The sequence below is a fragment of the Homo sapiens genome, chromosome 3 (genome assembly GCF_000001405.40).
Source record: "Homo sapiens chromosome 3, GRCh38.p14 Primary Assembly".
Lineage (NCBI taxonomy): Eukaryota > Metazoa > Chordata > Mammalia > Primates > Hominidae > Homo > Homo sapiens.
The window spans coordinates 20,904,177-20,919,502 of NC_000003.12; the positions used below are offsets into that span (position 1 = coordinate 20,904,177).

Sequence of the window (15,326 nt, forward strand, 5' to 3'; positions counted from 1 at the left end):
CTGGTATGTAGTAAGTGCTCAATAAATGTCAGCTATTGGTATATTTATTATTTCCTTTAAGGATCTCCAGATTTTCACAGTTATTGACAAATAATACGTCCTCAACAATGTTTGTTTATGACTGAGGCATACTAATCCTCTAGTAAATATAGTCACTTGATTAATGCATCTTTGGTGAGACAGAAGAACAATGGGCTTCTCTGATTGGTCAGCACTATATTGTGGATCACTTATATTCTGAAAAATTTGGAATCCATATTTGAAAACTAATAAAAGGTGAGACAAACAGCACAATTTTAAGGCAGTAAGAGATTGTGCCCCATGTTCCTTTGCCATAACAGGGGCATATGAAGCCATGAATCTGAAGATGTAGCTGGGATCAGAGTTTAGGCATAAGATTAAATGCTAGCATCTCCCTAAGTTTAGAATAAACAAATACATTGGCACAGGAATCCTGAGAATCAAGCTGGATATGGACCGGGTATGGGCCAGATGCTGACATCCAGAAGATGAAACAGTCAGAAAAGTGTGAGTTAAAGCAGCATTAGACTTTCTAGGCTGAAGAGCTCAGGTTGAGCTTTGAGATAAAAAGTAAGAAGATAAAATTTTAGCGGAGAACCTAAAAATAGGGATGCAATAGGCCGGGACACAGAAATGTGGTTTGAATCTTCAAGCTTAGCAATGCTCACTGGCTGTCTCCCCTGGCTCTAAACAGTCTCCCTGTTGTGTGCAGATAAGAAACGGCAGGTATAAGCTGCTTTCAGGAAGAAAGGGAAGGTTTTTGAAATGCCAGTGCCTGCAGGGAAGGTGCTTCTCACCAGCTAACTAACAACTGATTTTAAGTACCCAAAGCTAATGAAGGATCCCTAAGGGCAAAGACACACTGTACTAAAATGCTAAACCAAGGATTAAGTTCAAACATTCTAGGTAAATTTACCTTTAAAGTCAAGATGCTTACATGAATTTGTTCAATCATGCCTTCATTTTCACGATTCTTTCTTAAGACAGAGTCTTCTAAATTTCAATCTGTATTCAATTTATTTACTCAAGTTTCTATTCTTCGTTGCCCTCCTCTTCCTATTTTGTTTGTGTTATGCAACTGAGGTTACTTTTTTGTAAAATCATATTAGTGAATGTCTAGCGTAAAGAGATAACTATTTTTTTTTCTCCTTATCGCTTCACTCATATTATGGAAACTTCCCATATGCTCTTCTTAACGTCTTATTCCGCAACTCATGATGCTTGAGGAGTGAGTCATATGAACGACCTATCTGCTCATAGTCACCTGATCCAATAAATGAGATTCTCTTTCCTTGGATTTTGTAATTGATTTAGAGACTCTTGTTACTTCCTGTGGAACCCGTGGATTGGAAGGTTATCTAGGCTGCTGCAGAACTCTTCCACCCTGTGCACAGAGAAGTACATAAAGTGGTAAGTGAAATATTTTTGGTTGCAAAATAGAAACCAGACATATTAATTTAAGCAAAAGAGAACACATTGCTTCACCTAACTGAATAATCCAGTAGTCTCAAGAATAGCTAGATCAGGGTGTTTACGCATAGCTGTTAAAAACTTTTCACCTCTCAGTTCTGCTTTGTTTCTATTTGCCCTATTCTTTTTCTGGAAAAATGGCCCACACAGATACCGTTTAAGTGATTTTTAAACCTTTGTTCTGAGAAAAAAGTGAGATTTCTTGTATCTAGAATATTTAAAGAACATTTAAAACTAACAATAACACAATTTTAAAAGACGAGGTTTGAACATCACACCAAAGAAGATACATAGATTGCAAATGAGCCCATAAACAAGTTCAATATAATTAGTCGTTAAACCCAATATTATAGTTAAAATTAACAAGATAGACCATACCCGGTATTGGAAAGAATGTGGAAAAACAGAAAGTGTGGCATTTTGAAAAGTTTAACAAAATTGAATAAACTATTAAGAAGACTCAGCCAAAAATAAATACATAGAAAAGAAAATAAATCACAAATGTGAGAGGGACTGTTACAATAGGTCATATAGAAATTTTAAAAACATAAAAAGTAATATTATGAAACTTTTTCTGCAGATAAGTTTATCAACTTGAATGAAGTGGATAGTTTCTAGAAACATGCAGCTATCAAAATTGAATAAATAGGAAATCTGCATAGCTATATATGTTTTTTAAAAAATGAGTTGATAATCAAAATTCCTCTCACAAAGGAAACATCAGACCCAGTTGGTTATAAGCTGTATCAAAATTTTAAGAAATAGTACAGTTTTTATAAAAGCTTTTTCAGAAACTAGAAAGGGAACTAACAAATTCCACCTTATGGATTCAGAATAACCCTCATAAGAAAACATGACAAAACATTATAAGAAAAAAAATTACAGGATAGTGTTTCTTATGACTAAGTGGGATTTATTGCAGGAAAGCAAATTTGGTTTAATGATTTACACACACACACACACATCAGGCACAGTGGCATGCACCTGTAATCCCATCTACTTGCGATGGATGAGATGGGAGGGTTGAGGATCACTTGAACTCACAAGAATCCTATCTCAAAAACAAAACAAAACAAAACAAGCAAAGTGATTTTTGTCCTTTAAGTAATAAAAATATATAAATTGTAATTTTAAAATTTGAAGAAAAAGAAGTTAACGTAATTCAGCACTCATTCATGATGAAAAAAATAGCATGTAACTATGAACAGAAGGGGCCTTTTTGTTTGGGAAAAAATCTACTAAAATCTACTGATAACATTTTCCTTAATGGTGAAATATTGAATGCTTCCCCCCAAGATTGGAAACAAGTCAAGAATGTCAATTCTCACCACTTTTATTGGACATTGTACTGGAAGGTTCAGCTAGTGCAATAATATATGAAAAAGAAATAAAATCCATATGCACTGGAAGGAAAAATGTGAATTGTTTTTTATTTGTAGATGATGTAACTGTATTTTGAACATCATGAGGTATATACATCACAAATACTAGAAATAGTAAGTGACTTTAACATGGTTGCATAATACAAGATCGATATATAATAATTAATTGCCTTTACATATAAAGGCAGCATACAATTAGAAAGTAGAATTCAAAAAGCTGTTTCATTTATAATTACATCAAAAGCATTAAATAATTAAGTGTAAATTTAATGAAATATATGTACATGTAAACTGAAAAGTAAACACATTAGTGAGACATATTAGAGTCCTATGTAAAGGGAAATGCATTGGGGGAATAGATTTATTCACTCAATATAGTTAGGATGTAAATTCTCTTCAGATTGGTGAATATATTTTATACAAATCCAATCAGAATCTCAAGACTTTTTCATAGCAATTGACAAGCTGGTTCTAAATTTATTTGAAAAAGCAAAGAATCTAGAAAACTAACAATATCATTAACAAAGGAAAATGAAGATAAAAGGACTGACAATACCTAATTTGAAAACATTGTATAAAGCTACAGTAATCAACACAGTAAGATCATGGAATCAAATTGACAAATATGTCGCTAAACAGAATAGAGAGTCCCCAAATAGACCCACATATATATGGTAAATAGTTATTTGATAAAAATCCTAGGCAATTAAATATGGAAAGAAAAGGATTCTCAAAAACTTGTGCTAGATCAGCTGTATATCCATAAGGGGAAAAAAATGAACCTCCACTTTTTTTGTAGTACCAACAAAAGCTAATTTAGGTTGATTACATACTTTGTGGGTGGACAAATGAAATAGCCTGACCTCCTTGGAAACTATTTGGAAAATATTTGTCAGTTGCTCATATAGTTAAAGCATAAAAACTAAAAATAAAAAACCTCTAAAAGAAAGTATTGAGGAATACATTCACAGTCTTGGGGCAGGCAGATATTTCTTAGAGAACACACAGAAAGCACTAACTCAAAAAAAATAAATTTGTCTTCATCAAACTTAAAAACATCTCTTTGCTTTATACCATTATTACAAAGCCAAAAAGGTATGCCACAATCTGGGGTAGAATTTTCACAATAAATACTTCTGAAAATCTAATTATATCCAGAATATATAAAGAACTTCTACCTACAAATCTAAAGGAGAAAAATAATATGAAAATAGGAAAAAGGCTTTTAGAGACATTTAACAAAAGATATTAAAATGGCCAATAAGCACATGATATGTCGCTAGTGAAATACAAAAGTAAACTCACAATGAGATGCCACTATACACATTTTAAAGTGGCTAAAATTTTAAAAGCTGACAATATCAATACTGGCAAGCATGTGGTGTGACTAAAACTATTATACATTATTGGCGCGAATATAAAATCATACAGCCGTTTTGAAAACTGTTTTGGCTGTTTCTTGTATCGTTAAATATTCATCTGTCCTTACAATCAAGCAATTTCCTTTCTAAGTTTTTATCCAAGAATATTGAGGACATGTCCTCAGAAAGACCTGTACAAGATGTTCAGAGCGGCTTTACTCACAATAATTTAAAAAACTGGAAGTATAATTCAAATGTCTATTAATAGTTGAATGTATAAACAAATGGTGAAGTAGTCATATAAATGGATACTACCTTGCAATAAAAGAGAATTTAACTACTGATGTGTGCAACAACATGGATGTATTTAAAAAATATTAAACAAAAGAAGCCAGACACACAAAAGCATACTATTATCTATTCATTTAAAGCTCAACCACAGGCAAAACTAATTTATAATCATAGAAGTCAGAAAGTGGTTGTCTGAATGGTGGAACTGACTGGAGAGAAGCAAGAAGAAATATGTTGGGTTGTAAAAATATCCTATTTTAAGTGTGAATATATAGGTCTATGCAACTGTCAAAACTTACAGAGGTAGACAAATATGTGTTTCATTGTTTGTGAAGTATTCTTTCATTTTTTAAAAGTGAGATATATTTCAACACCAGAATTAACAAAAGAAAACAATCATCAGGACTGAACTAAAGCCAATTATCTTTCCATTTGTTTTTGTGTTGAAACTTTTGAGCAGCTTGGAATAACTGGCCTGAATTGCAGGTTGTTATACTGGAATTTTGTTTTTCCTTCTGCTTTTTGACAGTATGAACTTGGGCTAACGTCTTTATCTTTTTTGACTTTAAACTTTGAAATGAATAAATTAGTTTAAATACTCTGTATGTTTCCTTCAAATGTAGAGAAATGCATTTTAGATATATGCTGAATGTTCAGTCCCATTCAGTCATATGACACTTAGCCAAGTATCTTACTACTGGCACATCACTCATCATCCAGGCATTTGTTATTTTAGTCCAGCACTGTATCTGTACCAAACCAACAAACATCACAAATTATTGACCATCGAGATAGAACCTTAGAATTGTCTTTGGCTAAGAAGATACATAGATGATCCAGGAAATTATTGACATGGGAGCTCTTATTTACATTTCCTTTTCGTGACGGGACAGTTAAGAAACAGAAATAACAAGGTGTCCCTAGGTGCAGAGTTGAGCTCTTCCTATACTATACATTGAAATTCTTTCTTGCAGAGGCATTTAGTCATAGGAAAAAGGAATGTGACTCTGTAGCTTGTTTTGAGTTTTACAAAGAAATTGGAGTAGCTGTTTAGAGTTCCAGTCTTAGTTCTGTGACTTTGAATGAGTCACTTAAAAATAAGCCACTAGGCTTTATTTTTATTGTCTTCAAAATAAAGAAGTTTTCCTGGAGGATATCCAAAATTCATTACAGGTGTAACAAGTCCTCTGTAAGAGTCTCTGCACTTCGAATCCATCCTTAACATTCTGAGATAATTTTTTTTCTAAAATGTCAAACTAATTTTCTACTCCTCAGGTTAAATCTTTTATTGAGTTCCCATTATACCAATGTACCATGCAGAGTTTTGCACCTGCACATATTACCTGTCTTATCTTCAATTATATATCCACCTGCAGTCTTTTTGAACCATTAAGCATTAGGTGTAGTTCCTCAAATGTACTAGAAAGTCAAAAGTTTCCTTTAGTTTGCTCATCAGTTCCTTCTGCCTGAGAAACTCATCTACAACTTAATGAATTTGCAGATTTCTATCTTCAAACCTCAGTTCAAAGTTTTTCCTTTAAAGAATCATTTGACCACTTGCTTCCCCTTCTCCCTAGCCATCCTCTTATCCAGCATCATGTGGAGTTAGTAGTCCCTTCATCATGATCTATTTTCCAGAAAATTCCCACAGCTTTACACATCTTTGTTGAGAGACAAGACACCCTTCCCCTTACATTAAGCAAACACACCAAGAAGCTGAATTATTACTTGATAAGTACAATTATTAAAGTCACTTGATAACTATGCCTACGACACACTGAAAAAGCAGATTCAGTCTTCTCTAAGGTTATAAGAAGTTTGATACTTAGGGATTATCTGACTTTCGGAAGTAACAGAGTGTAGGGACTGGCTGACTTTCTTATGCATGGATTTTAAAAAGAGGCTATCACTAATGGGGTGGGATGAACACTGGTTCTGTGGTCATTTAAAATTTTGGACTAGCACCAATGAAAAGGTATTTTTAATTCCTAGCTTAATCATAATACTTAACATTTTTTATACTAATCATTAATTTTTTTGTCTGTCTTCTCACTAGACTTAAACTCCTTCAAGGTAAGAATGCTGCCGGTTTCATCTTTGTATCTCAGAGGTGCTCAGAGATAAATATTTTAAAATATTGATACTAAAAGTTTAAAATTTAAAAAGTACATAATGTATCTACGTATGCCAAAGGAAACACACAAATCTAGCCCTGATATAGTGGCCCTAACTCAGCTTATGAAAGTATTTATTAAGGTAGATAAAAACAAATGATATGAAGAGCATCGCTAAAAATTTAGTACTAGTTGTAAAATTCTGATATTGGCAATTTAGCAGATTTTTTTCTAATGCCTCCCTCACCCATTTAAAAATGCATTTCGAAGTTACACTATTCTATGTTTAGTTATTTATCTATTATCTGTTTATCTCTGCTTATTATTCCTGTTGAGAATAGAGGTGATAGAGAAACAAAGAAGAGGCCCATAATTAGGGGACAGGCAGTCTAAGGATCAAGGAAGTGTTAGATTTCTTTCTTTTGTGTTTAGGAGTTTAAAATCAAGAAAAAGAAGTCAACCACAAGGAAGGGTGTGCAAGTTGCTTTGTCATCAGATGGTTTTCACTTGTGAAGATGTGAGAAAATGAAGGAATTCTACTTCCATTGGTGCCAGGGATGCTATTTGACATATCTTATTTGCACAATCTCATATTTGCTAAAAACACCTTAATAGGTGTTTTCAGGACTGCCTGTGGAAGGTGATTTTCTTGGTGTCTCCTATCTGTAGAATGCTAACGGTTGAGATTTACCTGGAAAACAATATTGCTTAGAAATGCAGCAACACATCAACACAGAATCACTTAAATGGAAATAAGTGGTATGGCATTTTTGCAATGAGAGATTATTTTTAATATGAAATAATGAGACTGAAGAAGTAGAGAACTGGACAGCTTATGTTGGCATTCAGTTTTACACCATTTATTTTGTTCTATTAACAGTAACTTTCCTAAAAGGGATCATGCTTATTCTCTGTCACTTTTTCTACCTACCTAAATAGCAAATTTAGACTTAAGAATTTTATACTTATATGAAAATGCTAGTTAGGGAATTAGCCGTGTTACTATTGCAAAATAGTTTTCTCAATCATGTTCCAAGACACATGGTCATGAACTGCACTATAAGGAAGTAGCCCCTCAAGCATCTTTGGCTTTATTTGAAAGAACCTTTGAAATTTGTAATAGATGAACTTGTCCCACTTCCCCTCAGGAGTTGTGATCCCACAAAATGGTGCCAGTAGGCATTAGAAGGTATTCAGAGAGAACTTGATTTGGGACAACATTTTTGTACTAAAGCAGCAAGGTTCAGCAGACTCAATCTTTGCTTTAAAATTCAATGTAGTATTGAACTTAAGTCTTGTTTTGTTGTGGGGAACATTTGTGTGGCTGGTGTTCAGTTCCAGACTGGGTCCAAATTTCTATATGGCTTTGGGGATTCTAGGATAGTAATGGTGGGCCATCAAGTATCCTATTTGCAATGAAAGCTCCATTAGATTTGCCTATCTGAAGCTTTAAGGAAGATTATGAGTCAAAATTTTCATATTAGGGCTTCAGGACATCCCTGAGAAGATAACACCTGAAACGTATGTTTGGAGTATAATCCTGAAAGACACAATCCAAAATGCCATAATCCCAAATGTTCCTGAAAGCCAAATTTTGGGGAACAGATTTGTGTGTTTTGAAGTGTATTCAGAATAGTTACATCATATTAGTTGCATTATGTTAGGCCGAAATATTACATTATTATTGTTTTTATTTGCATTTCTTGGAAAATTCAGAGTCATGGATTGGCCATGTGATATTGCAACAGTAAAAACTTCAAGTTAAAAATGTGTCATTTGCCTACATTGGCATTCTTTCCAGCTGATGACATTGCAGGAGCTCTTTATTAATTAAAGCTGCATTTGCCTGAGGAAGCCAAGGAAGTTACTGACTACTTTAAAAGTTTTCACCAAGTTTGTGGTCTATATAAGAGTGTATGTGGAATGGATTTCTGAGTACTTAAAACAACATGGAAGCGTGGCAAAAGATGGGAAAATTGAATAGGGAATGCTCATTTTGGTGGATATCCATTTATAGAACGATTTCAAAAAAAGCAGTGCCATGTAGGAAGTGATCATATTCTCCAAGGAGAGTCATGTCCTGAAAGAAAGAAAGAAAAAAAACAAACAAAAAAAACCCCAGCTAGCTATTCATTGTGATGCAGGACTTCAGACTATAGCTAAAGATTATGAAAGTTGGCCAGCTCTTACAAACTGCCTCTGTGCCAATTGCCCATAATCTGTCCTAATAATACAATTTTCATTTATTAAATTTTAAATTTCGTTTTTAGATTTTTTTTTTTTTAGTTTTTTTTCACTATTTTAAATTGTCAGAATTTTTTTTCTTTTACAATTAATGATGCTGTGTATTTCATCTTCACCTCGTTTCCAATACTGGAAGTATAAATTGTGTAAAGACTTTTAGAGAATTCTAATTTGTTTTATGCACTTTTTGCAAATTTAAGTCCATGAAAGTGCATTATCACAATGTTGCCCTTGTGTATAAGAATTGTGTATATACATAACGTTAAATTTTCTCAACATGTACAAAGATGTTCTTTGTTATGTTTATATTTGTGAAAGATAAAATTTCTTGAGATCTTGGCTCTTTAAGTGACTGCATATGCAGTGGTGACCCAACATAATTTTTGATTTGTGTTGTTCATCATGGTATTTCAGATGACCACAATTGTAAAGCTAGGTGCACACAATTACCAAACATGGTAACGTGTTTATAGTTTCTTTTTGGACCTATTCTTTTATAAATATGGTTCATTTGCTCATAACTATTATACCCATATGACTGTTGTTAGTATACCCGAGTGTTTATGTTTGCAAAAATATCTAAGCTTTTTTTTTTCTATTTTATTGTGCAAAGTGGCCTATGAAGTATTCTGCCATGTTTTTATCTGTTTCTCAGATAAGTCTCCTTTGACACTTGCAAAGAAATGTCTTTTAACTTTTTTAAAATTATTTTTCCAGGATTATATTTTCAGGATTTTGATGTTTCACAATTGTGATTTGGGGAATTTTTGACTTTAAAGATTTTGATGTTTAAAATCATTCAGGATTACGGTGTTTGGGACTGTTTTGGAATTATGATTGGCTCCCCAGAAACACTACTCTTGAGAAGGGTGCCTTATCAAAGTAGTCTTTCCCTCAGAAAAGCTGGCTTCATGGATATGAAATCTGTACAGTCACACATGTCCCTCACTTAGAATGGAGGCCCCGCTCCTAATGTAATGTCCTCTTGTTTACATCATGAACTTCTTAATATATTTTTTAACAAGTGTCTGACATTTTTATCTTGCTTTGGGTTTCACAAATGATGTAGCTGGTCCTGCCTTTTAAGCCAAGAGAAATCCACTGGTGTCTGTCTTGTTCCAGGATAACAAAAGTGTGTGGGAGAGAAGCATTTCAGTAACGTGCTAAATAGGTTTACTAATCTGAGACCATAAAAAAATTGATTTAATTCATTCAACATGGGAAACTGTAGAAAATCTTTCCAGAGAAAGGTAACTCCCTGAAATTTGCATCTATGCTGACAAGAAGAAGAAAGGCTGTTTTGGGCCAGTGCTGAGAGACCACAAGCTTGAAAACAGCCCTACAGATGAGGTCTGCAGTGTCTCTGGCTGGATATACTCACATGGATTTAATTTGAGCCACCCGGGACTCAAATTAAAGAGAATAATGCGAAAGAGATGACTGACATGATCTTCCCACCAGATGTGCACATTGTAACACAGTGGAGGTACTGCAAGGGTAGGAGGAAGGGGACCTACTGAAAGCAGAAGTTACACATTCTGACTAGAGCTGGAATCCAGAAGAACAAGGAATAAAATTCAGATGGAGACTTGCCTCTGCCAGGTATTATCTTGGAAACAAGTATATGAGTTAAAGTTTCTGTGATTTAAAACATTGTGTAAAAATAAAGCTGCTTAGAGCTTGAACGAAGTTGAGGAGAGGCCCTTAGGGGGAAATATCAGGAGCTCAGCTTTGCATTTTTATTACATTTTGTGAAAACTCAGAGGAAATTATCTATTCTGTGCTTTTTGTCTTAGTGAAAATCCAAGTATTGTGAGTATATACACATGTGTATAAAAAAGGCTTTATGAGAAAGGTTGCAAAATTGGAAATTTGTAGAGAGCCCAGTAGATGTGTAGACGTAAGATAGGTCTATCACACAAGGATCAATATATTTTTTAAATATGTCCATAAAGCAGACTTGGACCCTGTTATAGAAACAGACGGTCTTGTAGACAGTTTGGATTGGAGTGAAAAGAAGTGTTGCTTGCTGTGAGATGGCCCAGCATTCAAATGAGAGCTACTCCTCAGTCTAAATGCAGGGTTAAAATCTGACCAAAAAAAAAAAAAAAAAAGGCAAACAGGAGCCGACTTTATACCTTGGGTACTTTATACCCAAGGACAGAACCTTTATACCTTGAGTACTTTATACCCAAGGAATAAAGTATGCCTTTATACCTTGGGCACTCTATACCCAAGGACAGGACCAGTACCTGCCATGGTGCTGTTGGTAATGAAGATGCATGGGTCATGATGGTGAGCAGAGATGTGTTCCTGAGTAGCAGCATCAAAGAACAAGTTAAAAAGATAATATTTTAACAAGTCATATAAATTATTTTGCTTGTATGATAAGGTGGGGCTACAATTTTTAAAAGTCTAATTAATGGTCAGAAAGCTTCTCTGAATTGATCAGTGTCAGGCTGGTGTTGTTTCTGAAACATTTTTCTTTGGTTAGATATCATGATATCTGAGGAAGAATCTCTACCAGAGAAATTCTGCTCTGTCATTGTAATTCAAAGGTAAAACAGATGACAGCAATTAGTATATATTCTCCATCTAACTGCTTCAAAAATAAAACATCATGTATTACCATTGCTCATTTGTAAGACAGACCTCTAGATTTCAGGAAGATGCCACTGTCATTGGCTTCATATGTATCGATTGACTTAAGACATTAACAAATGTGAGAAACTCCACAGCATGTAAGGCAGCATGGCATAGCACAAATGACATGGGGTTTTGATAAAATAATCTTGGGTTTGAATAGCAGTCCCATCAATCAATAGCCATTTTATATTGGAAATAATTTATTTTTTCTCATCTATCAATGAACATTACATTATTCAGAATAAGGTGTATTATGTTGTTGTAACAACTACATCAAAATATCAGTGGCTTTACAAAAAAAAAATGTTTATTTCTTGCTTATAACACTTGTTCCACCTGGGTTGATGGGAGTCTGCATGCTGTAGTCACTTGAGGATGCAGGTTTACAAAGATTTCATCATGATCGGTGCTTCCATGGAAACATGGAAAGGGGAAATGTTCTGCATATTGTGCATTAGATCTTGCAACTTCCACCCAGAAATGACATATGTCATTGTCAGTTACATTTTGTTAGCCAAACAGGTTGCATTGCCATGCCAAACCTCAAATGGAGTGGGAGGATGCAATCATACCTTGTGCCCTAAAGGAGAAGAGGACTTGAAAATGTGTGATGAATATCAATGACTACCACAAATAACACTAGTACAATTGTCATTTAATCATTTATGTAAAGCATCTTAACAGTAGTATGAGCTCAGTGAATGGTAGTTATTATCAGAGGTAGGTTTGATTAAATGAAACATTTATAACCAAGACTTCCAAGTAAGTGTGAAAGATTAAATACTCATTCTTAACTGCAAACTACCCCCAAATTTCACTTGTTATAATGATTGACTTTTAGTTCGAAATCCACAATGATAAGGAAAATGAGAGAATGAATGAGAGAAGAAAAATCTCAAAGACTATAAAGGTGGAAATAGAGAGATGGGCAATGACTTACTCACCCGAGCAGATAAAACCAGAATCTGCCTGCAGAACAGAATCCAAAGAGAAGCTAGTAGATAGGAGCATTACAGCCTCAGAGTGGCTCAAATTAGAGAACCGGTTTCAAGTATAACATAAAGCTGAAAAGAAGCCATGAAATGGACAAGATAATGCAAAATGCGGTTGATTATAGATAAATTGCTACAAACATATCTTAAATATTTCTCAGTTTTCAAGAAATAATAAGTATTCTTGAAGCATATATAAAAGAGAGCAATCAATGAAAGCCAGGAAGCAAGTGTGGATGCCAGGTCTATCCTGGAATTTTACAAACTTAAAATTGTGGAAATTCTTAATCACAAGGGAATTAGAAGACTAGGCCTTAGGAAAATGCTGAATGGAAAACTGGAATCTGAGATTCACACATTTTACTGGTATGTTAAAAGCCAAGAGCTTCTATGACATATGGTTTAGAAAAAAAAAAATTGTCCGCCAGCAAACAAAGTACACAGGAAATCTATCAATTTCTGTCACAGTTCCAAATGAAAAAGGACTAACAAAAATATTCTCCTGAGGCAGAATAACTAGCAGCTCCCACTTGGATGGATGGAGCAGCATGTGAAGACTCACATTGTGAGCTTTTGCTCCAAGAACTAACTCAGGAAATTAGCAGGAAAAGTGAGAGAATCCACAGACCTTTTGTCCCAGGCTCCATGGGACGGCTGAGAAACTGTGAGTTGGCTTGCTTTCTCAGCTGGGGGGCTTGTAGCCTAGGGCAAGTTCTCAGCCCTGCTCACCAACAGGCTGGATATAAAGTCAGTGCTGTTGTAGGGGAACAGTGGGAGTGTGATCGGCCTTTCAGGTTGCAGACTGCATGGGAGCTAGGTGAGGCCCGTACCTGCTGGCTTTCCCCCACTTTCCTGGTGACCTGTGCAACACGGCAGAGGCAGCCATAATTTCCTCGGGAAAATAATTCCTTTGGCCTGGGCACTATACCCCTATCCCTCACAGCAGATGCAGCAAGCCTTGCCCAAGGAGTGGCTGAGCTCAGACAAGCCTATCCCTGCCCTGACCTAGTGGTCTTTCTCTACCCTCCCTGGTAGCCAAAGACAAAGGTTATAATCTCTTGGGAGCTCCATGGCCCTGTCCACTGCTTGGTCCTCCCTATATTACTGCAGCTTATGTGCTTTGAAAGTGCCGCCTTCTGGCTGGAGGCCAACCAACAAAAAATGAGCACATTTAACACAAAACAACCAAGGACCCTCACAGAATCCACTTTACTCCCCTGCTACCTCCACTGGATCGATAGGGTGTTGATACCCGTGCCCGAGAGACCTGAAAACAGATCACATCATAGGACTCTTTGCAGACACTCTCCAGTACCACCCCAAAGACTGGTAGTTTGCAGGCTGAGTAGATCCAGAAAAGAAATTATAATCACTGCAGTTTGACTGTCAGGAAGCCCCATCCCTGGGGGAAAGAGGAGACCACCACATCAAGGAAGCACCCTGTGGGAAAAGAGAATCTGAACAGCAGCCCTTGAGTCCCAGATCTTCCCTCTGATATAGTCTATCCAAATGAGAAGGAACCAGAAAAATGATTCGGTAGTATGATAAAATAAGGTTCTTTAACAGTCTGCCAAATACTGTCTCACCAAAAATGGATCCAAATCAACACAAAATCTCTGAAATGCCAGAAAAAGAATTCAGAAAGTTGACTTATTAAGCCAATCAAGGAGGCATCAGAGAAAGGTAAAGTCCAACTTAAATAAATCAAAACATGATACAGGATATGAATGGAGAAATCTCCATTGAAATAGAGAGCATAAATAAAAAACAATCGCAATTTCTGGGAATGAAGGACACACTTAGAAAATTGCAAAATACACAGGAAAGTCTCAGCAATAGAAATGAACAAACAGAAGAAAGAATGTCAGAGCTCAAAGACAAGGCTTGAGAATAAACCCAATCCTACAAAGACAAATAAAAATGAATATTAAAAATGAATAAAGCCTCCAAGAAGTTTGGGATTGTGTTAAATGACCAAACCTAAGAATAATTGGTGTTCTCAAGGAAGAAGAGAAATCTAAAAGTTTAGAAAACATTTGAAGGGATAATCAAGGAAAATTTCCCCAACCTTGCTAATAATCTAGACATCCAATTTAAAAAAACTCAAAGAACACCTGGGAAATTCATTGCAAAATGATCATCACCTGGGCATATAGTCATTAGGTTATCTAAAGTCAAGATGAAGAAAATAGTTTTAAGAGCTGTGAGACAAAAGCATCAGGTAACCATGAAGGAAATCTATCAGATTAACAGCAGATTTCTCAGCAGAAACTCTACACACTAGAAGGGATTGGATAGAATTCTATCTTTAGCCTCCTTAAACAAAACAATTATCACTAAGAATTTTGTATCCAGCAAAACTAAGCTTTATAAGTGAAGAAAAGATACAGTCTTTTTCAGAAAAACAAATGTTTAGAGAATTTGTCACTACCAAGCCAGCACTACAAGGCTGCTAAAAGGAGTTCTAAATCTGGAAACAAATCCTCAAAATACACCAAAATAGAATCTCCTTAAAGCATAATTCTTACAGGACCTATAAAACAACAACACAATGAAAACAAAACAAGGTATTCAGGCAACAAATAGCATGATGAATAGAATAGTACCTCGCATCTCAACACTAATGTTGAATGTAAATGGCCTAAATGCACCACTAAAATAATATAGAGTGGCAGAATGGATGAGTTAACCAACCAAGTATCTGCTGTCCTCAAGGGACTCAACTGACACATAAGAATTCACATGAACTTAAGGTAAATGGATGGGAAAAGATATTCCATGCAAATGGACACCCAAAGTGAGCAG

The 15,326-nt window shown here is 35.2% G+C and overlaps 1 long non-coding RNA gene across 1 annotated transcript in view; it reads left to right on the top strand.

Moving 5' to 3' along the window:
- Positions 1-1,343: 1,343 nt before the first annotated feature.
- Positions 1,344-15,326, top strand: part of LOC107986068 (uncharacterized) — a 51,383-nt gene continuing 37,400 nt past the window's right edge. Inside the window, exon 1 of the long non-coding RNA XR_001740619.2 lies at positions 1,344-1,431. This is a non-coding gene — a long non-coding RNA (uncharacterized LOC107986068). The remainder of the gene's footprint in view (positions 1,432-15,326) is intronic.